At 38.4% G+C, this 27,015-nt stretch overlaps 1 protein-coding gene across 64 annotated transcripts in view, besides 1 other annotated feature; it reads left to right on the top strand.

Moving 5' to 3' along the window:
* The window catches only part of EIF4G3 (eukaryotic translation initiation factor 4 gamma 3), a 370,606-nt gene that overhangs the window by 99,518 nt on the left and 244,073 nt on the right, over positions 1-27,015 (top strand). For 62 of the 64 annotated variants that reach the window (XM_047433321.1, XM_047433366.1, XM_047433324.1 and 59 more), the window contains one exon: positions 26,386-26,514. The exons of the other annotated variants lie outside the window; for them this stretch is intronic. Coding sequence is in view for 1 of the 62 variants with exons in the window: in XM_047433231.1 (XP_047289187.1) it covers positions 26,386-26,514 (129 nt within the window). In the remaining 61 variants the exon portion in view is untranslated. Of the gene's footprint in view, positions 1-26,385; positions 26,515-27,015 lie in introns of those variants that run through there. 64 annotated transcript variants of the gene reach the window in all.
* Positions 9,212-9,382: a silencer, noted in NCBI's record as "fragment chr1:21394491-21394661 (GRCh37/hg19 assembly coordinates)". NCBI's record gives its function as "represses an EF-1alpha promoter that drives an FKBP-Casp9 reporter gene in an ReSE screen in K562 erythroleukemia cells {active_cell/tissue: K562}" and the evidence as "EXISTENCE:reporter gene assay evidence [ECO:0000049][PMID:32094911]".

Below are 27,015 nucleotides of genomic sequence, written 5' to 3'. Positions count from 1 at the left end.
GCCCAGGCTGGAGGACAGTGGTGCAATCCTGACTCACTGCAGCCTCAACATCCTGGGCTTGAGTGATCCTCCTGCCTCAGCTTCCTGAGTAGCTGGGACTACAAGCATGCTGCCTCCATACCAGGCCAATTTGTTTATTTATTTTTGTAGCTATGGGGTCACACTATGTTGCCCAGGATGGTCTTGAATGCCTGGGCTCAAGCAGTCCTCCTATCTTGACCTCCCAGAGTGGGATTACAGATCACTGCCTGCCCATTTTTAAATTGGATTTTTTTCTTCTTTTCTTTTTGCTGTTGAGTTGTGTTTCTTATATAGTTTGGCTGTTAATCAATTGTCAAATGTATAGTTTGCATATATTTTCTCCCGTTCTGTAAGTTGTCTCTTTACTCTGTTGACTGTTTCCTTAAATTTGCAGAAACTTTTTAATTGGATATAATCCCACTTCTCTAGTTTTGCTTTTTTCTCTTTTTAGATTTTACCCAAAAGAAAAATCTTTTTTCAGACCAATGTTCTGAAGCATTTCCTTGGTGTTTTCTTGTATTCGTTTCATGGTTTCAGATCTTAACATTTAAATATTTAGTCCATTTTGGTTTGATTTTGGTATATGGTTAGAGATAGGGATCTAGTTTCATTTCTCTGCATGTAGATATCCAGTTTTCCCAGCACTGTTGATTGAGGAGACTGTCCTTTCTCCTGTGTATATTCTTGGCACCCTTAAAAAAATGAATTGGCTATAAATAAATGGATTTGTTTCTTGATTCTCTGTTGTCTTCCATTGGTCTATGTTTTTAGTCCAGTATCATGCTGTTTTGGTTACTGTAGCTGTGCAGCATATTTTGAAGTTAGGTAGTATCATGTCTCTATTTTTTTATTTTTTATTTTTATTTTTTGAGATGGGATCTTGCTCTCTCTCCCAGGCTGGAGTGCAGTGGGCATATCTTGGCTTTTTTGCTTTTCTGCTGCTTTGCTTTTGCTTTTCTTTCTGCTTTTTTGATGTAGGTGTTTATTGCAATAAACTTTCGTTTTACTACTGCTTTTGCTGTGTCCCATGGATTTTAGTATTTTGTGTTTCTACTGTCATTTATTTCAGGAAATTTTAAAATTTTCTTCCTCATTTCTTCATTGATCCATTGTTCATTCAGGAGGATATTGCCTAATTTCCATGTATTTGTACAGATCTATTTCCAAAGATCTTTTTGTTACTGATTTCTAGTTTCATTGTATATCGGTCAGAAAAGATACTTGGTATGATTTTATTTCTTTTAAATTTGCTGAGACTTGTTTTGTGGCCTAAGTGGTCTATTTTGGAGAACCCGTGTGCTGATGAAGAGAATGTGTATTCTGCAGCTGTTGGATGAAATGTTCTGTAAATGTCTGTTAGGTGTCTTTCGTTTAAAATGCAGTTTAAATCCAACGTTTGGTTATTTATTTTCTTTCTAGATCATCTGTCCAATGCTGAGAGTGGGATATTTAAGTTGAATAATAGTTCAAGTCCCCAACTATTATTTTATTTTAGTCTATCTCACCCTTTAGATCAAATAGTACTTGCTATATATGTCTGGGGGCTCTTTTGTTACGTGCATATGTATTTATAATTGTTATATTTTCTTGCTGAATTGATCCGTTTATCATCATATGGTATACCTTTTCTGTCTGTTTTACAGTTTTTGACTTATAACCTGTTTTATAAGGCAGGAGTAGTATAGCTACTACTCCTGGTTTGTGTTTGTGATGAGTAACTTTTTTTGTCTCTTCACTTTTAGTCTATGTCTGTCTTTTTTTTTTTTTTTTTTTTTTTTTTTTTTTTTTGTGAGTTGGAGTCTCACTCTGTTGCCCAGGCTGAAGTGCAATGGCATAATCTCGGCTTGCTGCAACCTCCGCCTCCCGGGTTCCAGTGATTCTCCTGCCTGAACCTCCCAAGTAGCTGGGATTACCGGCACCCACCACCATGCCTGGCTAATTTTTGGATTTTTAGTAGAGATGGGGTTTCACCATGTTGGCCAGCCTCATCTCAAACTCCTGGCCTCAGGTGATCTGCCCACCTTGGCCTTCCAAAGTGCTGGGATTACAGACATGAGCCACCCTGCCCGGCCCTATGTGTGTCTTTACGGGGAATTTCCTATAGGCAACATATAGGTGTGTAATGTTTTTTAATCCAGCCAGTCTATATTTTTTAATTGGGAAATTTAATTCATTTACATTCATGGTTATTATTGATAGATAAGTACTAATTCCTATCATTTTGTTAATTGTTTTCTTGTTGTTTTGTATATCCTTTGTTCCTTTTTTCCCTCTCCTTGTTTATTATTTCAGTTTGTTGGTTTTCTGTAGTGATAAGATTCGATTCTTTTTTCTTTCTTCTTTGTGTATCTGATCTATCAGTGAGTTTTATACTTTCCCATGTTTTCATGATTGTGATTATCATCTTTTCACTTACGGTAACCACCCCGGCGAATACTTTACTTTTTGTAGAGGCAGGGTCTTGCTGTGTTTCCCAGGCTGGTCTCGAACTCCTGGGCTCAAGCGATTCTCTCACCTCGCTCGGCCTCTCCAAGTCCTAGGATTAAAGGCATGAGCCAGTGTACCTGGATTAGTTTTCTTTTTTAATACAACATTGTATTGGAAAATATTTTTCCAAGTTATTACACAGCAGTTATAATCTTCCTAATTCTGTAGGAACATAATAATTAGGAATTTTTAAAGAACTTTCTTCTTAGCCATTTAATCTTTTTTTCCTGTTTAATGCGTTTGAATTATTTGGTATGGAAAAGTAATGAAATTTTCTTGATTGTTAAGACAGAAAGGATTTGGTTGTAAGAAGATTTATGTATATAAATTATTATTATTTTTTTCTCCAGTAGCATTTATGAATGATAACTGACCATAGTTAGAAATCCAGATTTTTGTATTTGATAAATTTAAATACGAGATGATAGCATTTAGATATTTTCATAATGTTAGGCATTCTTATAATGTTTAGCTTAGAATTTGCCAGTCATTTGGAAATACCTAAGTCAGTTGTTCTCAACTGGAGGTGAGTTTACCCCCAGAGATATTTAGTTATGTGTGGAGATGTTTTTGACTGCCACAGCTGGTGAGGGTTGAGGAGATGGACAGAGGATGCTGCTGTCATTTAGTGGGTAGAGGCCAGGTAAGTATCTAAACATCCAAGTGCATGCAACAATCTCATGATAAAGAATTATCCTGGCCCTAATGGCAGTAGTGTCACTGTTGAGAAACTTGAATCTAGATTTTCTCAAACGTTAGGCAAAATTATTAAGATTGGTTAATATTATTAATATTTATTCATCTAGCCAGTATTTGTTCAATACCATCTATGGTACTCTACTAGATGGTGGTAGAAAAACATATGAAAGTAAAAAATAATGAAAATTGTAGTGTTTAGAAATAGAGAAACAAGATTTAAAACTGATCATTTCTGTTAAGATATGAGAGAAGGTGGAAGGATCATTTGAGCCTCAGAGGTCAAGGCTGCAGTGAGCCATTATCACACCACTGCACTCCAGCCTGGACAACAAAGTGAAAACCTGTCTCCATTAAAAAATAAAAATATCTCTTCCAGGGACGTTGTCTACAGGCACTCAGAATGATCCAGCATGTGACAATACCATCATAGACTTCCCTACAATACAGTCTCTAACAAAACTAGGCTGTCATGAGCCCTTGGTAATAGAATTGTCGACCTTTATACCAAGAAGGTTGGGAAAGCACCGAAATCTGCATGTGGCGTGTGCCCAGGGAGACTTAGAGGGGTCCATGCTGTGAGGCCTACAGTTCCTGTGAGAAGATGCCATTTTAGGTGATACCTGAACCATGAAATGTATTCAGCTGTTCATGGATGAAGAGGAAGAGCATAAACCTTCCCAATAGATATTGCAGAGCTCCAAGGCCTTAAGGTGGGAGCCTCCTGATGATTGGTGGCTCAGAACCGTGCTGTCCAGTAGAGCATTTCCTTTTGAGCACTTGAAACGTGGTTAATGCAATTAAGGACCTGAATTTTAAATTTTATTTAATTTTCATTAATTTAAATGTGAATAGCTGCAAGGGCGTTTGAAAATGCCCTTCTAGAGGCTGACAAAATCTAGGTCATGTAATTTTGTAAGATTTTGATAAAGTATTTGGGTTTTATCTGATGTATAGAAGGAGCTGTTGAAGAGTTTCTACTAAGGGAATGACATAATATTTAAATCATGAAAATACTCATATTTATTAGCAGATGAATTGGAGTTTATAGGTTACATGGGGAGCAGAATGTTAAGAGCAGCTAAGTGGCTCTGGAATCTGACCAAATGAATTCAGATCCTGGCGCTTCCACTAGCAGCTGTGTGTGTCATTGGGTAAGTTTCTTGCACCTCAGTTTCCTTCCTCATGAGTAAAATGGAGATAATAATAGTGCTGATCTCCAAAGGTTCTTAAGAAGGTTAAATGAGACAAATCCATTTAAACCTCCTAGAGCTTGATACACAGTCATCACTCAGATATGTACCAGCAGCTGCTGCCACCATCAGTAAGTATTCTATTCTTACAACTACAATGAAGAAACTATTCATACCGTTTATTTGATATGAAATCTGAACAAGCTTAGTGTGGTGTTAGATAAAACGCTTATGACTTTCATTTCAATAGTGTTGCTTTTTTATTTTTAAAAAATATTAAAGGCTAGGCGTGGTGGCTCACGCCTGTAATCCCAGCACTTTGGGATACTGAGGCGGGCGGGTCACGAGGTCAGGAGATCGAGACCATCCTGGCTAACACAGTGAAACCCCGTCTCTACTAAAATACAAACAATTAGCCGGGCGTGGTGGCAGGTACCTGTAGTCCCAGCTGCTCAGGAGGCTGAGGCAGGAGAATGGCGTGAACCTGGGAGGCAGCACTTGCAGTGAGCCGAGATAGCACCACTGCACTCCAGCCTTGGCGACAGAGTGAGACTCCATCTCAAAATAAATAAATAAATAAATAAAATAAAAAAATTAAATGTCTTTTTCTGTATAGACATGGGATCTCCCTATGTTGCCCACACTGGCGTCAAACTCCTGGGCTCAAGGAATCCTTGTACCTTGGCCTCCCAAAGTGTTGGGATTACCGGCATGAGCCACTGCACCCAGCCAGTGGTGTTGCTTTTCAAACTTTAGTATTTATCATCAATACTTATTATATATTTGTCATCTTGGAATGTCCAACTTTATTACCTTAGAAAAGTAAACTCCTTTAATAAACTACTAGATGTACATGATACAAAACTTAGGAAGTTAAGGGATAAAAGACTTGTAGTATAATTATCCATGTGTTAAATATATTTTCTCTTTTGACTTAACCGTTGCCATATTATTAGACCCATTGTTCATTTTTAATAATCCCATAGGAAGTTGTTTGTAGAAATAATATAATTTTAATAGTGTTGCCTAGGTGTAGTTGTAGATTATTGTCACTTTATGTTTAAAAGCTACTTCTCTCTCTCTGTCTTTAACTTATTTGGGAAAATAGCATTTGGGAAGTAGCTGTTTAAGTGCTTTTCTTCTTCTTTTTTTTTCCTCTCTCTCTTTTTTTTTTTTTGAGACGGAGCCTCGCTCTGTCACCTAGGCTGGAGTGCAGTGGCGCAATCTTGACTCACTGCAATCTCCGCCTCCTGGGTTCAAGCGATTCTCCTGCCTCAGCCTCCTGAGTAGCTGGGATTACAGGCTCGCACCACCATGCCTGGCTAATTTTTGTATTTTGGTCAAGCTGGTCTTCAATGCCTGACCTCGTGATCCACCTTCCTTGGCTTCCCAAAGTGCTGGGATCACAGGCGTGAGCCACCGTGCCCGGCCGTGTAAGTGCTTTTCAAATGCCAGTTTTTGCAGATGGTAGTAGTGGATACAGTTTTTATTTATGGAACCTTCTGTGGAGTGTCAGGACTGCACTGGAGGATTACATGGAGTGGATGTGTTTCTCTTTGGTTTTTTGGAGACAGGTTCTCACCCTGTTGTCCAGGCTGGAGCATGGTAGCATGATCATAGTTCACTGTAATTAACTTTGAACTCCTGGGCTCAAGCAATCTTCCTGCCTCAGCCTCCCAAGTAGCTGGGACTACAGGTGCATGTCGTCATGCCCGGCTAATTTTGTTTTGTTTCATTTTCTGTAGTGACAGGATCTCACTATGTTGCCCAGGCTGGTCTAGAACTCCTGGCCTCAGATGATCCTCCTGCCTTAGCCTTTCAAGGTTTTGAGATTACAGGCACGAGCCATGCCACCTGGCTAACATGTTTCTTATATTAGATCAATCATTTATTTTGGCTACTAAAGCTAATGTGAATTTTCAATTTATTCTTTATATCTGATATGAATTGCATTAGCTAATGTTGAAAATCAGTCATTTGCACTGAAGAACCTATTGTATGCAGGGTATGAGGGGGTGGTAGCGGTTGTACCTACTCTCAAGAAATGGAATGAAATATAATAAAATGAACTTACTAGACAACAATATCAATTAGTCCACTTTCAAGTTCTTTGGAAGTTTCTTTTTACACTTACAAAAAGATTCAGTCTATTATTACTAGTTAAGAATTATTATTGTGCTGTCAAGAATGTTTATGGAATGTCAGTTTACCTTTGATATTCTAAAACTGCCCTCTCTTCAGTTTTTGGGTGGTTCCAATTTATATTAATTGACATATCTGAAACTTAGCAAAAAGAAGGTAGTTTGTTTTTTATTTTATGTTTGCACATACATGTTTGGCTCTTAAAATGTTAGTAGGTTATATAGTTCTTTTCATTAAGGAGTTTTAAAAAATTAATAGTTAAGAAGAATGTAGTTATATCTACACCATGAAGTACTACTTAAACATTTAGAACAAGAATGAAGTAGGTATGTTTATTGACTTGGAAAGATCTCTAATGTTTTGATAAGTGGAGAGGAAAACATGTCATTGAATATTTATTATTGTGTTGTTGCTATTATTTTTACACATTTGTAAGTGTATAGAAAGGTTTGTAATAATGTGCTTCAGAGTATTAATCATTTTGCCATAGGGAGTGGAGTGGGATTTGAAGGGTAAAGAGGGCACTACTTTTTCTTTTTTTTAACAAAAATCATGTTTATACATTATTGTAGCAATTAGAGAAAGTAAGCATCAAACTTTTTTTTTCCACAGTCTTAGTTGCCACTGCCTGATATGCAAATTGGTAATAATTCTATCCTGATTCAATCACTAGATGCAAATGGTTTTCCACAGTGGCCTTAAAATTTTCCTAGATTATTGAAAAATAATATTGTATTAGCAGTAATAAGTTGTGGCTTGCCGTTTTCCTTTGTGGTCTTAAATTTATTTTTCCAAAATTTTAATATAGGACAGTTAGCTGAGTTCAAGTCTTGCATTACTTTGAAAGATCATCTTTGACTGAATTCTATAATGATTTATAAGATAACCATGATTGAGTATATTTCATTTCTCTATTCTTCCTGTGCTCACCTTTTACGTAAAACAACAAAAAAAATCTCATTCTTACCCATGATTAGCTCATCCTCTTTTCTTTCGACAAACCTCACAGTCAGTGTCATCAAATATTTGTGAAATCCAGATGCTGCTGCTGCTTTCCTACCCCCTCCTCTCCCCCGGTAAAAATTCCTACGAGTTAGACTCAGTCTTTTTTCTGTTTGGCCTTTCTTTCTAAATAGAGAACAGCCTTTCCTGTTGTGACAGCCTAAAATGTGTTTGAAGTTACTTTTCTGTGTTTTCCTAAGTACAAAATAACTGAAAGATCCTCTGGCCTCTTGGAGCTTGCTTTTCCAGGGGACTAAACATTGGAGATGTTGCAGAGCTTTTAAGAATATTGAGATAAACTTAATTTAGAAAACATATATTGAATGAGAGCTATATGCAAGGTTTTGTGCCTGGTAATGTGAGAAAGCAGTGGTGGACACTATGATCCTTGTCTTTAAGAGTGCTCATTTTACCAGGCAAGATGGTGATACGTTGTTTTAAGTACATGTGGGAATGTGAGGAAGAGACATTAATGATTATGTAAATGAGAACAAAAATATGTAAATAAGTAGTAACATTTACTGGTATAGTTTTTCTGGGTTCTCATTAAGCAAAAGTACTTGGAGGAGTGAAGCATGGTTAAACAGAGAAAGATGGTATCTAGATGAACTCTAAGAAGCCATAAAATGTAGGTGGGCAGCAAGTTTGGACTGCATCTTACAAGATATTGGAATGAGTGTACATACATCAGTTAAAGCCTTTGAGGTGGAGGATAAGGTTACAGCTACATAGTGTAATGAGCCATGAAATAGATAACAAAAATTGACCAAACCTAGGCAGAGGAGTTAACTGGTGAAAAACTCAACAGAACAGTTTATACAGGTTGAGCATCTCTAATCAAAACATTCAAAATCTGATATGTTCTAAAACCTGAAACTTTTTGTGTACCAGCATTATTCTCAAAGGAAATGCTCAATGGAGCAGTTCAGATTTTGGATTTTCAGATTGGGGGTGCTGAACTGGTAACTGTTTGCAGGTGTTCCAAAATCTGAAATCTGAAACATTTCTGGTTCCAAATTTTTCAGATAGGGATACTCAATCTGTAGAACATTTTCTTTATTACTATAAGTAACACTTACTGTGTAACAGTTACTTTTCTAAGCATTTTATGTGTATTAACTCAATCCTTATGACAACTGTATGAGGTAGGTATAATTACATTCCCCATTGTTAGTTGGCAAATAGACACAGAGGTGACGTATCCTGCCCAAAGTTATCCAGGTAGTGTGTGGTAGAGGTTGGATTTGAACTTTGGTGGATCTTTTAACATTTATTGAGTGACTACAGTGTCCCAGACACTGTGCTAAATGCTTTACATTCATGATATTATTTAATACTTATGACAACCTTTATTTACAACAAAGGAAAATGGGACTTGGAGACATGTAATTTGAATACAGGTCTGTTTTGAATCTACAAGTTCATGTGAAGTATTCTGTTTTTTTTTTTTTTTTTTTTTTTTTAAAGACAGAGTTTCACTCTGTCGCCCAGACTGGAGTGCAGGTGCAGTGGTACGATCTCGGCTCACTGCAACCTCCACCTCCTAGGTTCAAGCGATACTCATGCCTCAGCCTCCCGAGTAGCTGGGATTACAGGTGCCTTATGCCCGGCTAATTTTTTGTATTTTTAGTAGAGACAGGGTTTCACCATGTTGGCCAGGCTGGTCTTGAACTCCTGACCTCAGGTGATACACCCACCTCGGCCTCCCAAAGTGCTGGGATTATAGGCATGAGCCACTGTGCCCGGACCCTTCTTTTTGTTAAGATCACAAATAAGGTCAAAAGCAATACTCAATTTTTGGGGGATTAGGGCCCTTTTGAAAATCTGATGAAAGGTATGAATCTACTTTGCAGAACAGTAAACATACAAACATAGGGGTTTTCTTTTTTTATTTTATTTTTTGTTTATTTATTTATTTTTTTTGAGATGGAGTCTCGCTCTGTCACTCAGGCTGGAGTGCAGTGGCGTGAGCCACTGTGCCTGGCCTCTTTTTTTATTTTTTAACTGCAGTTTTAAGAGAGTTCAATAACTCTCACTGATAAGATTCCTTATTCTAGTCTAGACAGATTTTCCCCTTGCAGTGGTGCTGTGTTGCACTTTGAACCTGATTCCTAGGATTTGGAAATAGCTCAACTTCGACTTTACGGTGTATTAAATGGAGAGGTATCTTATTAAGATTTTATTTACCCTTCTATTTTGAAGTATTTTTCTTAAAAAGCATTTATACATGTGGTACTCAGTTGTATTCTGGTTATTAAAAATTTTATGTCTTTTTCTACCCATCATGGTATCTGCTTGCTGATTAATAACATTTATGAAAGTTAGGATTCCTTGTTGTTAATATTTAATGTGAATTTGCTCATTAAATGTTAAATCAGATACCTTGTTAAAATATTATTTAATAAAAGCCAGACGTGGTGGCTCATGCCTGTAATCCTAGCACTTTAGGAGGCTATGGTGGGCAGATCACCTGAGGTTGGGAGTTCGAGACCAGCCTGGCCAACACGGTGAAAACCCGTCTCTACTAAAAATACAAAAATTAGCCAGGCATGGTGGTGGGCACCTGTAATCCCAGCTGTTCGGGAGGCTGAGGCAGGAGAATCCCTTAAACCCCAGAAGCAGAGGTTGCAGTTAGCCAAGATCATGCCATTGCAATCCACCCTAGGTGATAAGAATGAAACTCCGTCTCAAAAAAAAAAAAAAAAAAGAAAAGAAAAAAATTACTTAATATGTATTTACCTGATTACTTTTCTTCAAAAGAAGGATTAACCTTAAAGATACAAGGGTATGTTATTTTGTTAAATGCCAGTTATAAATGTCTTTTGAATTTCTGGGATAAGAAAACAGTAGAAATAATAATAAAGTTCTTTAATGTTTGAAAACTGAAAATGTGTTTCTTTGAACTGTGGGATATTCCCTTCACAGCAATTTTACAAAGTATATGTACTGTTTTTAAAAATAAAACAACTGATATGGACCACGTTTAACTAAAATGAGTCATAGGAAATTAGATTTTAATAACTAGTTGTGTGGTAAATGGAGTTTTAATTATTTTAAGGAAAAGGAAAGAAAGACCATTAGTATCTCCAGGCATGGATTTATTATTGCCATGAAGTTGTTGTCATGAATAGAACGATCAGTTTTTACTGTAAACTTTGATAGACACTGGAGCATTTAACTTCAACTTTATACAGTTCCCTTTTTATCTTTTAAAAGCACATCTGGCTGTCGGGAATTCTGTAGGCAAGAAATTGTGAAGGATTAGAAACTGTTCTTTGTGCATTTAAACTGTCATTCTGTGGTTGCTTAATTGCCATATAGAATGCAGAATACTAGATTAGAAAGGTGTTTAGTTTCTTTAGCTGTTACAGATCCCAAAGAACTTTTGACTCTGTTAATTTCTTATGGCTATAACATTTCTATGTTAATTTTTTACATATCTAATGTAAAATCAATGGTATATTGTTATTCTTTGTTCAATAAGCATTTGTTTAGTAACTTTATTTTTTTTAATGTTTTTATATTTTTTACTTTTTTTTTTTTTCCTCCAGGAGTGGACTGAGTCTGATGAGGCTGCAGGGCCTGGCCCCTCATCCCTCCCCCTCCCGCCATAACTCTTTAAAAAATTCAGAAAAATCAATTAGGATGAGGTGTCAAGTATTTAGTTATTTGTTATTATTAATTTTCTTTTGAGACAGAGTCTCGCTCTGTTGCCCAGTGGTATGATCATGGCTCACTGCAGCCTTGACCTCCTGGGCTCAGTTGGCCCTCTCCCACTTCAGCCTCTTGAGTAGCCACAACCTCTGGCTAATTTTTGTATTTTTATTAGAGACAGGGTTTTGCCATGTTTCCTAGGCTGGTCAAGTATTTATTTTAAACTTGCTTAAAGGATTAGACTTTGCAAACCACAGCTTTAGGTTTATTGTAACACTCTCACCCCCATTTGTATAAATGAAAATCAAGCAGGAATCATTTCACCCCAAAACTGTCTTACACTTACTGGCTTAATATTAGGATTTTAAACCAACAGTTTAAATATTTGTAAATAATTAAACACACTTTTTATATACTAGGCATTATGATAAATATTATCTTAATGTGTTGAATAAATCAGCATGATAAGTCCTTACTTTTCACTTTTACAGAAGAGGAAACTAAACTTAAGTAATTTGCTTATATAGTTTCTGTATAGTAGAGCCAGAATTCAAACTTAGGTCTCTGACACCAAAACCCATTCTCATTTTTTTCTTTTTTTCTTCCCCCCGCCGCCCCACCACTGTTTTTTTTTTAAGATAGAGTTTCAGTCTGTCTCCCAGGCTGGAGTGCAGTAGCATGATCATAGCTTGCTGCAACTTCTGGGCTTAATCCTTCTCTCCCAGCCTCCCTAGAGCTAGGACTACAAGTGCACACCACCATGCTAAATTTTTTTTTTTTTTTTTTTGGTAGAAACAACCCCATGCTCTTTTATTGATGCTGTTTAGCCTACTTGGATGCCTTGAATCTGTTTACCTTCTGTTTATGTTCCTTCTTTCAAGTTTGTGTTTGGAAAGTGATAATTCGTGACTCAGCCTCAGAATGGAGGCATATATCACACATCTTACATGATTTGGATCTGTGTCAGAGGAACTTAATATTGTGGTTTTGATAATATAATTGAATTTATGCTTATAGTTGAATACTAAAATCTGAGATTTATTAATACCTTGGAATTAAAATAGAATTCACTTACCTTGGATCAGTTAAATAACTAGTTGATTAGCAACTGACTGAAGATCAACAGGAAAATAGTAAGGCATTAGTTTTAAAAAATTAAGTTGTAAGTTGGTAAATGACTAATTCCATTGCAGTCACTGAATGTATATCAGTAATCTCCAGACTCGCATACAACCTTGTCTTGGTGGAAAGCTCTGACTATGGATTTTGAACATAAGAAAGAGAATGTGAGTGTCTGTTAAAAGCCATCACTCCTCAGATGATGTTAAAAGTCTTCACTCCACATCTTCTGAGGAGTTGTCAAGTGTTCCTGCTTCTGACCACAAGGACAGCAATTGGCCTGTAATATATGTATTCCTTGAAAAAGTAAGGAGTTAATTTGTTATGCTTGTGTAGACTGTTACTAATTTTGTGTAGTTTTACTAAATGATTGGATTTAGTAGAATAGACAAACCTTACCACTCTTTTTTTTTATTCAAGACAGTCATTCCTAACTGATCAAGGTTTTGCTGTTGAACTGGGAAAGGACCTTGGAATCATAATATAGTGCTACACGATTCTATTAGCAGTGAAAGAAATAAAAATGTTTTTACTATCTTGGCTTCCTCCCTTTACGCTGTAAAGCAGCCCTGGCTACCTGATGTCTTCATGAGTTGATATTCTAAATAATTTTACCCTCAAATAGCCATATAATAGTAAGATTTGGTTGAATTAGTAACAGAGAAAATATTTATAGTTAAACATCTGAGTGGCCACTTGTCTGCAAGTACTGTCATAAGTACTCATTAAATCCTATTCCTGTCCACAAGGATTGCAAGGGCGCAAACAGATGATAAGAATCAGTGATCACTCACTGATTGTGTCCTTGCAGTCTCTGGGTGGCTGCAGGGCACAAAGGATAGCATGAACCTCGCCATTGGCTGCAGGGCACAAAGGATAGCATGAACCTCGCCATCCTCAACTACATCATTGGCTTAAGCAGGATTTTATAAGACAGTCTGGATACCTCACTGCCAAGTTCCAAATAGCAGATTTTGCTCACTATAAAATTAATGTGTCTGCTAGAAAAATGGAAACACAGAGAAAAGTATGACAGGAGGCTGGGCATGGTGGCTCATGCCTGTAATCCCAGCACTTTGGGAGGCTGAGGCAGGTGAATCACTTGAGGTCAGGTCAGGAGTTGCAGACCAGCCTGGCCAAGGTGGCAAAACCCCATCTGTGATAAAAATACCAAAAAAAAAAAAAAAAATTAGCTGGGTGTGATGGCATGCGCCTGTAATCCCAGCTACTTGGGAGGCCGAGGCAGGAGAATTGCTTGAACCCGGGAGGCGGAGGTTGCAGTGAGCCAAGATTGCACCACTGCACTCCAGTCTGGGCAACAGAGTGAGACTGCGTCCCCCCCCCCAACACCCCCCCCCCCAAAATGAAAAGTATGACAGGAAAAACATCCGTGATGTTGTTAACAAAAGACTCACACCACCCATTTTAACGTGATCCTTCAAGTTGTTTTGCTGTGCACTTAAAAAAAAAAGTTATTAGTGCACCACCGATTTCTGTCCTGCTTTCTTTACTTAAAATTATACCATAAGCAACTTCTCATTTTTAAAACACATTTTTCTAAATATATATTTTAAGAATGTATTTACTTGTTCTCTAATGAGTTAGTATTTTTTACTCTTACAGTGTTCAAACAACTGTCACATAGTTTCTTGGCATCCATAAATTTTCTATTTTTTTTAACGCTCTCTCAGCAGAATCAATATTCTTTTCAAAATACTGCCTCTAACTTTTGATCTGAACCCTTGTTGTTCTCAAAGTGTAAGTCAGGTGCCACCAAACCCTTCCAGATTCTTCTCAGACCTGGTTACTTTTGATTTTTCAGCAGTACTTTAAATACATCTCCTATTAGCCGGGCGTCGTAGCATGTGCCTGTAGTCCCAGCTATTCAGGAGGCTGAGGTGAGAGGATTGATTGAGCTTGGGAGGTGGAGGCGCCACTGAGTTGTGATTGTGCCACTGCATTCTAGCTTGGGTGACAAAGTGAGACCCAGCCTCAAAAAAATTAAAAAAATAAATATATATTCTATGGTATTTATCACATAATTCATTTATGATGACAGAGTAGGTGAAATTAGGAATCATATCAAACTGGTTTGGATTGCTGTGTGGTATCCTGCCTATCCTTTATATTCTGTCCCAGCATCAGCAGACCCATTATTTAAAATATATATATATTGGCTGGGCACCGTGGCTCACGCCTGTAATCCTAGCACTTTGGGAGGCCAAGGTGGGCAGATCATCTGAGGTCAGGAGTTCAAGACCAGCCTGGCTAACATGGTAAAACCCTGTTTCTACTAAAAATAGAAAAAATTAGCCAGGCGTGGTGGCACGCACCTGTAATCCCAGCTACTTGGGAGGCTGAGGCAGGAGAATCGCTTGAACCCGGGAGGCAGTGGTTGCAGTGAGCCAAGATTGCACCGTTGCACTCCAGCTTGGGCAACGAGTAAAACTCCATCTCAAAAAAATAGGTATATCTATATCTGTATCTATATCTATATCTGTGGATATATCTACTGCTTACGTCTTCTCCGTGGTGCTAGATCCATATCAATCCTGAGACTACTGACATTGGTTTGATTGTTCCTTAGTCACCTTTTGCCTATATTTTGAAATTCTGAGATTCTGACTTTGATTTAATTTTAGTTTAGGATATTACTGATTTATTCTCTGATGATCTTGTTTATTTTCTTTTAGAATTATAAGCAGAGGCTAGGAGTAGTGGCTCATGCCTGTAATCCCAGTACTTTGGGAGGCTGAGGTGGGAGGATTGCTTGAGCCCAGGAGTTTGAAGCCAGCCTGGGCAACATAGTGAGGCCCTGTCTCACCAAAAAATAAAACAAATTAGCCCAGTGTAGTGGCACACACATGTAGTTTTAACTACTTGGGAGGCTGAAACGAGAGGATTGCTTGAGCCCTGGAGTTTGAGGTTGCAGTGGGCTATGATCGCACTACTATGCTTCAGCCTGAGTGACAGAGCAAGACCCTGCCTCAGAAACAAACAAACAAAAAGCAAGCAGAGAGACTGGGTGCGGTGGCTCACGCCTGTAATCTCAGCACTTTGGGAGTCCAAGGTGGATGGATCACTTGAGGTCAGGTATTTGAGACCAGCCTGGCCAACATGGTGAAATCTTGTCCTATTAAAAATACAAAAATTAGCCAGGCATGGTGGCATGTGCCTGTAGTCCCAGCTACTTGGGAGGCTAAGGCAGGAGAATTGCTTGAAACCAGGAGGTGAAGGTTACAGTGAGCCGAGATCGCGCCACTGTACTGCAGCCTGGGTGACAGAGTGAGACTCTGTCTCAAAAAAGAAAAAAAAAAAAAAAAACAAGCAGAGAAATAAACCATATTGATTACATAATGAGAGTGAGCACAACCTTGAGTATGTAACAATTGACATTGACAAAATTGATCCAGAAATAAATTTTAGCTTTGCCTTTTGCCATCTTCCTCTCATAAGTTTCAGACTTTTTCATCTGAAATTTGCTAGTTTTGATAATTAGCTTAGATGCTATGTGGAATGTTGGTAATGAACCTACCTCTAGATTTACTTGCTTGGCCCTGACTGCTCTCCTGAGCTTAGATTCATGTATTCAACACACTACTTATTATTTCCATTTGAATCTCTGATAGGCATCTAAAACTACTTGTGGTTATCCCTTTCCCTTTGTCTATTCTGCCTCTAATCCTGTCTCACAGTAATAACAGGTTGAACATCCCGATCCAAAAATATACAATGCTTCACAATCTGAATGTTTTGGAGTGCCAACATGATGCTCAAGGAAAATGATCATTAGAGCATTTGGATTTTGGATTTTTGGATTAGGGCTGCTGAAGTGGTACAGTGCATATATTCAAAAATTAAAAAAAAAACCTGAAATACTTCTGGTACCAAGCATTTTGGATTAGGAATACTTTCCCTTCTTCCCACCTAATCTTTCAAGCCATAAACTTAAAATCCATCCCTGATATCCATAATCTATCACTTTCAAGTATACTATATAATTTATTTAAGTATTATGGCTGTTAGTATTTCAGCTAGACCATAAACTCCAGGAATGCAGGGATTTTAGTCTCTTTTACTGATGTATTCCATGCACCTAGTACAATGCTTGGTATAAAGTTCTCAATAAATATATGTTAAATGAATGAATGAATCAATCAGTCTACATTCCTTTCTGTTCCACCTGCTCAAACAAAGTATCTTGTTACTACCGTGTTCTAAGCCACCATTAGTTGTGGCCAAGATGATTGCAGTAGCTTTGTTTTTTTTTTTTTTTTTTTTTTCTTAAGAGACAGGATCTTGCTGTGTTGACCAGGCTGTGATGCAGTGGCTTTTCACAGGCATGATCATGGTGCCTTACAGCGCCGAACTGTTGGGCCTCTTGCCTTACGCTCCCAAGTAGCTGGGACTGCAGATGTGAGCCACTGTGGCCTGGCATGATAGCTTTTAACTAATCTCTGCTTCTATTCTTGTACTCTTCAGTTCTTATTCTTACAAAGCAACCAAAATGATCTTTGGAAAACATTCGATCTTTTCACACTCCTGCTTTTAAAACTTCCAGTAGGTTCCCAGTCATGTTAGAATAAAACCCTAAGTCCTTACCATGCCAACAAGGACTTAAATGTGTGTTGTTTTAAGCTGTTAAGTTTGTGATTTGTCTCTTGATTAATTCAGATAACTGATAAATTACCTAGCCAGATCAGTGTTACCCTATTATATTCACTGGCACCCCTTATTCTTCAGAGGAGGGAATTATTCAGGGTGTGTACACCAAGTACAGGAATACTGAGAGCCATCTTAGATTTGAGTCCACCCTGGCTGGATGCAGTGACGCACGCCTGTAATTTCAGCACTTTGGAGGGCCAAGGCAGGCGGACCCCTTGAGCCTAGAAGTTAAGACCAGCCTGGGCACCATGGTGAAATCTTGTCTCTACAAAAAATAAAAAATTAGCCGGGCATGGTAGTGCATGCCTGTAGTCCCAGCTACTCAGGAGGCTGAAGTGGGAGGATCACTTGAGCCTGGGAGGTAGGTGGAACCTGCAGTGAGCCGAGATCGGGCCACTATACACCTGCCTAGGTGATACAGACCCTGTCTTAATAAAAAGAGTTTGCCCTGTGGCCCTCAAGGATTCACATAGGGTCCACTTTCGTTAACCTTTGATACCTAGACATTTTTGGAAGTGCTTCTTTCTTATTCGTTTATTTTTTCATTTGTTAGCATTGTTACTGACCCTCCAATTTTAACAACATTTTCTTGTTTCTATTGGATAGTTACTAAATAAGAAAAGCAACCCTCAGAATTAAACCCAGTGCTGACAAAGTCCATAGTAGAACATACATGGTATGTGTTTGCTTGAGTTTTTAAGTATTACTTGAATCATATAAAATTATTTTTCTTTTTTAAGGTTAAAATATACTTGAATATCTGTAAATCTGGAATTTCATGTAATTCAACCTATTAAGTATAGGTAAGAGTAGAGCAAGGAGGAATGCCATTTTCTTTTTCTTTCTCTTTTTTTCTTGGTGGTTGGGGATTGGCAATGATATTAACAGAATTCAAATGGTGTCATGTATAAGTAAAACTTCCTTCCTCATATCCACTGTAGTGCTCCTTTTAGTTGAGCAGACCAGCTTTTATTTAGTTCTCAATATCTGTAGATTTGGGGAAATAAATGACCTGAAGGAAGAACTAGGATGATACAAAATATTAATGAAGGGAAAAATACTTGACTTATCTATTCTGCTGCTTGAGGAGCATAAAGTATAGAAATTACCCACATAAGAAAAGCTTTGGGATCTTTCAAAACTACCCAGAATTGAACTTTGTTATTTCTGTGTATGAGTTGCAGCTGCTGAAATGTTTTGAGATGACCTCACTAAATAAACTTTATCTTGGGATTTAGAAAATAAGGGATGTCACACATATAAACCATGTGCCTTTTACCTTTATAGGAATCATTTGTTGCTGAAAAATTAATTTACTTGATAGGAATCCTGGAGTTTCCTGTTATTCTTTTAGTAACTGATTAATTACTATACTTTTTAAAGCAGTATGTTTTCATTCATATTATATAAAATATATAGAATAAAAACAGTGGTTTGTGTGTGTGTTATATTTAACAATATATCTATTCAGTCAATGCCTGTTTGTGTAGAATCCAGTCACAAGTCTATATCTGAGTATTTATAGAAAGTTTGGCCAGGTGTGGTGGCTCATACCTATAATCCTGGCACTTTGGGAAGCGGAGGTAGGAGGATCACTTGAGTTTCAGAGTTTGAGACCAGCCTGGGCAACACAGTGAGAACTTGTCTCTACAAAAAAAAAAAAAAAAAAAAAAAAAAAAAAGAGAGAGAGAGAGAAGAAGAAGAAAAATTACTGGGCATGGTGGCATGTACGTGTAGTCCCAGCTACTGTGGAGGCTGAGGTGGGTGGATTACTTAAGCCTGGGAGATGGAGGCTGCAATGAGCTGTGATCACACCAATGCACCCCAGCCTGGGCAACACAGTGAGACCCGATTTCATTAAAAAAAAAATGAAAAAGCAAGTTTATATTTGATGATGATCATGAGATACCCCTAGAGCCATGTCCACACTCTGGCTGCCTGTGTTTTTAATATACCAATATATGGTTTATTTGGCTTGTAGTGTGTATGGGAAGTCAGGACAATTTCATGCAGAAAGCCTTATTTTTGGTTACTCTTGAAAATTTTGAAGAAGTAGCACTGCTTATCTGGAATTCCTGCATGCCAGTACTTGACTACAGGAGAGTATCTCAGTATCTGCTGCCCTCTGGGGAGTGGCCATTCTCTTATCGTTTTCCATAGTCCCTAATCTCTGTTGTTTACATCTGGCCAGTTTTTTCCCATTTTGTTTCCTCCAGGGGGTATTTCTCTTGCTCTGGAGTCATGTAAGAATGATCATGTTAAGGAAACTTTGTTTTCCATATTTTATTTATTATTTGAAAATTGTGGTTTATGTATGATAGCTCTTAATTGGCCAGAATATAATCAAATCCAATAAGTTAGTGCTAGATAAATAAACTTTATACCTAATGACTAATCCTAATTTGCATGATCTTTATGGTCTACCTTAAATTTTTAAAAAACTCTGTCAAGTTAATATTGGTCACCAACCACCAAATATCATTAATTTTATAGGAGATTATTTTTTGGTGGAAATCTTGAATGAAAATTCACTAGCTACCTGAAGTTTCCACTGAGTCAAAATTTTAGAGCTTTTCTTTCTTGCAGCAGTATTTCTTTTTAAATTTTCTTTCTTCTATGCAGAGTAACAGTATAATACCAATGTAAGTGATATTTTATCACAGGTGTTAGTAGTTTGCTTGTTTTTGTCTTTAATCTTGTTTTTGAGGTAGGTGGTGTGGAAGAGGATTAAAATACACGTTCATATAAGTACATAAAACTTAAAGGTAGAGTTTAACAAATAATTTTAAAGCAAAAAAAAAATTTTAAACCAGCTTTAAAAAAATCACATGCCCTTTCTGTCATAATTTCCTCTCTCCCCAGAAATAATACTATCTGCCTTTTAAAAGTCATTTTCCTGCTTCTCTTTATAGTGTTGCTAAACATGTGTACATCTATTGACTAATACGGTCAAGTTTTGCCGGTTTTGGATATTTGGATAAATGGAATCATACTTTATATATTCTTCTTAATCTTTTACTCAGTACCATTTGTGAGGGTCATCTAAATTGTGTTATGGTAGTTTTTTATTCTGTTTCTGTATAGGAAAATTTTCAGTGTATGAAAATTTCATTATTGATCAATTCTGTTAATGAACAGTTGGGTTGTTTCCAATTTTTGGTTATTAAAACAATACAACTATGAACATTTTTGTTCATGTACCCTGGTGCACGTTTTCATTGTTTTCAACCAGAGGTATACCTAGGAGTGGAATGGCTGGGTCATAGGGCATGACTGTTTCCAAGCTTACCAGCTACTGCCAAATTGCTTCCCAAAGTGGTTGTACCAGTTTACATTTCTACCAGCAAGAGAATGAGAATTTTGGAAGCCCCACATTGTTACCAATGCAAAAATATAATATCTGTAAGAAGCAAAAATGTTTCTCGGGCATATTTTCTTTTAAATGCAATAAGCAGTACACACAAACATATATTGCACTACAAGAAATGGTTGATGTATTTTGCTTAGGATTAATATTATAGAAAAGACAACAGTCTGTTTAGCTTTGGAGGTAGTTAAGTAGTTGCTGTTTTCAGCTGTTCTACACCTCTGCTCCCTCCCAGCCTTCATAATTGAGAAGGTAGCAATATCTTTCAAATAATGGGAAAACGTACTTGTTTTCTTTGTATGAGAACTTGTTGCTACTCCCTTTAAAGAAGATGGATTTCAACAGTATGACCTGAAATTGAACAGTTTACCAAGAGAGAAGAACCCTTAGCTAGATAATAGAGGATTCAGTAATCATTAATTTAGGAATATTTTGCAAGAGGTATTTAAATTTTAGTGTAAATTTGATTTTTATCTATGACAATTTTATTAGCCTTTGTGCCATTTCTTTGGGATAGGATTGTGCTATTTCTGTTCTGTATAATTTCTAGTAAAAGATGGTATACCTTTTTCCCTGGCAGAGACATTAAGCCCTGTAACAAATACACTAAAAGCGAATATGGAATGCCTAATGCAGTGTGACATATGTAATAGAGGATCTTATTTGAATTGAATAGAGCACAGTGAAGCTGAGAGATTTTTATTATATGTAACAGCCTGTTTCTAGGAAGAATTTCTTAGAAATTCTAGTTCTTCTATTATTTTGATACAGACTTATTTTCTTTGGCCTGCTTTTATTAGTAGACATCCCCAAATTTAGGAGGAAGTGCCTTTTTAGAATATCTGATACCAAAGGATTACCAGTTTGGCAGAACTATTTAGAGTTGCAAAGGATGCATACCATAGGGATATACCCCTGAAAGTTGTTTTTCATTGGTGTTTCCTTTAAGGAAGCTTTTTATGTAGAAAGAACAGCACTTTAGGCTTTGGCACAATGCTTTTTCTCTTTCTCTCAAACATTTGTGTTTTATGGGGCAATATAATAGTTTTCTGACAAACCAATGGATACTAATTTTATGTGTAATAATTTAAATTGTTCTTTCAGTATTCTTTAGTATATGTCAGTACCTCTTTACAGTTCTGTAAGAAACATAGCTTACAGTCTTTACAACTCTGCAGATGTATTTTTCCTTTATTATTCCTAATTATTTCATATATTTCTGTTGATACTAGTGTACAGGTTTATATTTTTTATGTATTTAGTTCAGTTGTGTTACTTCATTTTCTCATTGGTTGCTATTTCTACCTGTTTTTGCCATCATATGAAATGCACTGGATATATCTTTAAGTTCCTAATTTTTGAGGTGAGATTTTCTTTAGGGTATGTACTCTAAAGTGAAATAATTTTGGGGTGATGGTTTTGAAGCACTTGGTGACACATTGCTCTGTAATCCTGGGAAGATAGTAAAGTAACCCATTCACAGTATTTTATCTGTGTCCTGTTTCCTTAGATCCCTGCCAATAATGGGGCAAAGATTTTATTTTAACTTACTTTTGTTAGTTTAATTGATAAACATACAATGTATTTTAATATTTTTTATCAATAGTATTTTAAAAATTTACTATGATTTAATTGTCATGGGCAAATTTGGTATTTAATTTTTATCAGAATAAATCATAAAACTGGTCTAAGATAGATTTTATATAGTTAACTTCTTTGCTCTCTTTTTATTTTCACTTTATTTCACTGTACAGAATTTTTCCCGTGTTAAAAATGTGTATTCATATTGAGGTTTTTACTTTAGCAAAATATCAAAATAATTAATTCTAAAACATGGGAAATAATATAAATTCATAAGCTTTGTTGTAAGAAATTTTCTTATAAGAGCTCTTCATTTCTGATTATTAATTTTCTAAAGTAGATGTTTAAATAGCAATCCAACTTTTCTCCTTTGAAAAATTTCCTTGGTGAGATTTATATATGCTGTTACATTTCATGGTAAACTTTATGCCTTTATAAATGTAATAGTCACTCAAAATTGGAAACAAAATTTTCCCAAGAAAATCATAATCAAAGTTATTTAAAAAACAAGGATGAAACTAGATACAATTATTTTAAGTGTTAATCTTTGGTCATATGGTAGCATCATTTATGTGTCTTTTAACTCGTAAGCTTTTGGTTCTAGTTAGTTCTGTGTGAGTCCATTTGATTTCAGTATTGGGATCAGGTAGCTGATCCTGAAGATGTTTATATCTGTTTAGAGAGTTATAAGTGATTTGAAGGTTAGAGTACCAGGGACTAGATTTTCTTCAGACCTTTTGACTGAGTGAATTCCAGGCCATTTTCCTTTTTCCCTGAGCAGAGTTTTTAACTTTATGATAAAATTCAGAAGACCTATGAACTGAAAATAGAGAATATGTCTAATGATGAATTTTAGCATTTCTTTGCATTATGAATATAGACAACAATTGCCATTAGTTATTATTTTTAACGCACCACTGAAGAACATATATTACTATGTCAGGAATTTGTTTTTGTTTTTTTCTTTTTCTTTTCTTTTTTTTTTTATTGATCATTCTTGGGTGTTTCTCGCAGAGGGGGATTTGGCAGGGTCACAGGACAATAGTGGAGGGAAGGTCAGCAGATAAACAAGTGAACAAAGGTCTCTGGTTTTCCTAGGCAGAGGACCCTGCGGCCTTCCGCAGTGTTTGTGTCCCTGGGTACTTGAGATTAGGGAGTGGTGATGACTCTTAACGGGCATGCTGCCTTCAAGCATCTGTTTAACAAAGCACATCTTGCACCACCCTTAATCCATTCAACCCTGAGTGGACACAGCACATGTTTCAGAGAGCACAGGGTTGGGGGTAAGGTCACAGATCAACAGGATCCCAAGGCAGAAGAATTTTTCTTAGTACAGAACAAAATAAAAAGTCTCCCATGTCTACCTCTTTCTACACAGACATGGCAACCATCCGATTTCTCAATCTTTTCCCCACCTTTCCCCCCTTTCTATTCCACAAAACCGCCATTGTCATCGTGGCCCGTTCTCAATGAGCTGTTGAGTACACCTCCCAGACGGGGTGGTGGCCGGGCAGAGGGGCTCCTCACTTCCCAGTAGGGGCGGCCGGGCAGAGGCGCCCCTCACCTCGCAGACGGGGCGGCTGGCCGGGCGGGGGGCTGACCCCCCCACCTCCCTCCCGGATGGGGCGGCTGGCCGGGCAGAGGGGCTCCTCTCTTCCCAGTAGGGGCAGCCGGGCAGAGGTGCCCCTCACCTCCCGGATGGGGCGGCTGGCCGGGCGGGGGCTGACCCCCCAACATCCTTCCCGGACGGGGCGGCTGGCTGGGCAGAGGGGCTCCTCACTTCCCAGTAGGGGCGGCCGGGCAGAGGCGCCCCTCACCTCCCGGACGGGGCGGGTGGCCGGGCGGGGGGCTGACCCCCCAACCTCCCTCCCGGACAGGGCGGCTGGCCGGGCGGGGGGCTGACCCCCCCACCTCCTTCCCGGACGGGGCGGCTGGCCGGGCAGAGGGACTCCTCACTTCCCAGTAGGGGCGGCCGGGCAGAGGCGCCCCTCACCTCCCGGACGGGGCGGCTGGCCGGGGGGTGGGCTAACCCCCCCACCTCCCTTCCAGACGGGGCGGCTGTCCGGGCGGGGGGCTGACCCCCACCTCCCTCCCAGACGGGGTGGCTGCTGGGCGGAGACGCTCCTCACTTCCCAGACGGAGTGGCTGCCGGGCGGAGGGGCTCCTCACTTCTCAGACGGGGCGGTTGCCAGGCAGAGGGTCTCCTCACTTCTCAGACGGGGCGGCCGGGCAGAGACGCTCCTCACATCCCAGACGGGGTGGCAGGGCAGAGGTGCTCCCCACATCTCAGACGATGGGCGGCCTGGCAGAGACGCTCCTCACTTCCTAGATGGGATGGCGGCCGGGCAGAGACGCTCCTCACTTTCCAGACTGGGCAGCCAGGCAGAGAGGCTCCTCACATCCCAGACGATGGGCGGCCAGGCAGAGACGCTCCTCACTTCCCAGACGGGGTGGCGGCCGGGCAGAGGCTGCAATCTCGGCACTTTGCGGGGCCAAGGCAGGCAGCTGGGAGGTGGAGGTTGTAGCGAGCCGAGATCACGCCACTGCACTCCAGCCTGGGCACCATTGAGCACTGAGTGAACGAGACTCCGTCTGCCATCCCGGCACCTCGGGAGGCCGAGGCTGGCGGATCACTCGCGGTTAGGAGCTGGAGACCAGCCCGGCCAACACAGCGAAACCCCGTCTCCACCAAAAAAATACGAGAACCAGTCAGGCGTGGCGGCGCGCGCCTGCAATCGCAGGCACTCGGCAGGCTGAGGCAGGAGAATCAGGCAGGGAGGTTGCAGTGAGCCGAGATGGCAGCAGTACAGTCCAGCTTTGGCTCGGCATCAGGGGGAGACCGTGGAAAGAGAGGGAGAGGGAGACCGTGGGGAGAGGGAGAGGGAGAGGGAGAGGAGGGAGAGGGAGAGGAGGGAGCTAGGAATTTGTTTTAATATTTTTATACCTGTATTTCAATATAGATCATTTGTTGTCATAATCCTATGTATTTTATGTATTTAATAACACGATTCTGAGAAGTCTGTATTTTATGCTAGATTGGCAAAGGGTTTGTGTTCCTCTCAAATTTAAGAACTATTCCTTAAGGAGAATGACTTCTTTCATTTTAGCAGAGGACAGAACTGCCCATAATTCATGAAAGTTTGCAAAACCATCAGTGTTAAGTCTGCATTAGTGTATGAGAGGGAAGAGCTGGCTAGGATTGATTGGTAGACACTTCCACTAGGGGTCTGAGTAAAGTGGTTTCATATCCGTAATGGGCTGATGAGCAATTTATTGCCTGCAAAAAACGGAGAAAATGAAATTTTTGGTTACGTAAAAACATGCTGATTATTTTTCAGTTGTATAAATTTGTGATTATTGTATTATATTAGAAAATATAAATGAGAAAATAAATACCTGTAATGCTTTCTGTTAAGATTTTGGTATATCTCTTTACAGATCTTTAAAAATATTACATATACATGTTTTTAGATGTATGTGTGTGTATTATATGCATACGTAAACAAATAATGTATATAGAAATATTCCTACACATGTGTATGTATATGTATATTTAGATGTCCTTTTTAAAAATTTTTTTGTATTTAAAGAGATAGGGTTTTCCTCTGTCACTCAGGTTGTAGTACAGTGGTGTGATCATAGCTCACTGTAAGCCTTGAACTCCTGGGCCCAAGCAGTCCTTTTGCCTCAGCTTCCCAAGTAACTATTTCTACAGGTGGATGCCACCATGCCTAGCTAATGAAAAAAAAATTTTTTTTTATAAAATACAGTTGAAGTCTTGCTATGTTGCACAGGCTGGTCTGAAACTTCTGTTCTTAAGCAGTCTTCCTGTGTTGGCCTCCCAAAGTGCTGGGATTACAGGCATAAGCCACAGCATCTGGCCAGATATATGTTTTTAAAGACAAAAATGAGATTATGTCGTATAAGTAACTTGCCATTTTTGGAGTTTAGATTTATTGAGATGTAATTTAGTAAAATTCACCCTTTTTAGTGTATACGTCCATAAGTCTTGACAAGCAGAGACATTCAATTCTCACTATAAGCATGATACAGAACAGTTCTGTCACCCTCAAAAATCTCCTTGTTCCTCTTCTGTAGTCATCTCCTTCCTCTTTCAACCATTTATTTCTTTTCTGTTCCTTTTACAAAATGGTATCATACAGTTTGTAGTTTGAAGTATTGTTTCTTTCCTGTAGCATGTGTTTTCCTTTATGATTTTTGGTTTTGAGATCATGCTTCAAGAATCTTTTATCAAATTGATGAGAATATTCATGTATATATTTTTAAAGAATTCTGTTTTTTTCAATTTTAAAAATTTTAAGTGTTTGTTCAGTCTCGTGCTTATTTTAGTGTAAGTTGTGAGGTAGGAAATCCAATTAAAAATCAGATAGTTCAGCTGTATTTATTAAGATTGATTTACTAATATAATGTTCTTACTAAATATTGATTTCCTCACAGGTAACACAAGTGGCAAGACAGCCGGGAACCCCTACCCCATCCCCTTATTCAGCACATGAAATAAACAAGGGGCATCCAAATCTTGCGGCAACGCCCCCGGGACATGCATCGTCCCCTGGACTCTCTCAAGTAAGATAAACCTTTTTTAAAAAAATAAGAAATGTCCCTGTAAAGGCATCATTTTTGTTTTTCTAAAGAGACTCCTAAGCAGTAACATAAAACATTACTTGTATAGTAATTTCAAGTTTGTCTTTGGCATCTTTTCAGACTTAACCGTTCATAAAGATGGCTACTAACAAATTTCACACATTTCATTTTGAAGTCATTAAAAATTAACTGTTGGTGATATTTAGTTTTCATTTTCATTGTTTAAGAAGTTAGAGTTTTATTCTAAAGTTTACTGGAAAACCCCCCCACAAAGCACTGATTTGCTTTTCGATGCTTAATCTGCTACCGTCTCGCACCCCTTTCGGGTGAAGCATTAATGGTTATTTTCTACTTATGTGAAAACTTGGTGTCTTCCCCTCTTGAGTAGCATCAGTGGGATTTTTTGTTTGTTGGTTTGGTTGTTTTGTAAGTCGATTATTGTAATTTGATAGGCTTAAGTTTTTGTTGAACTGTTAGAAGAAT

Source organism: Homo sapiens, chromosome 1 (genome assembly GCF_000001405.40).
Source record: "Homo sapiens chromosome 1, GRCh38.p14 Primary Assembly".
In the NCBI taxonomy this organism is placed as follows: Eukaryota; Metazoa; Chordata; class Mammalia; order Primates; family Hominidae; genus Homo; species Homo sapiens.
Note: the sequence above shows the minus strand (reverse complement) of the source record. Positions and strands in the feature narration are given on the sequence as shown.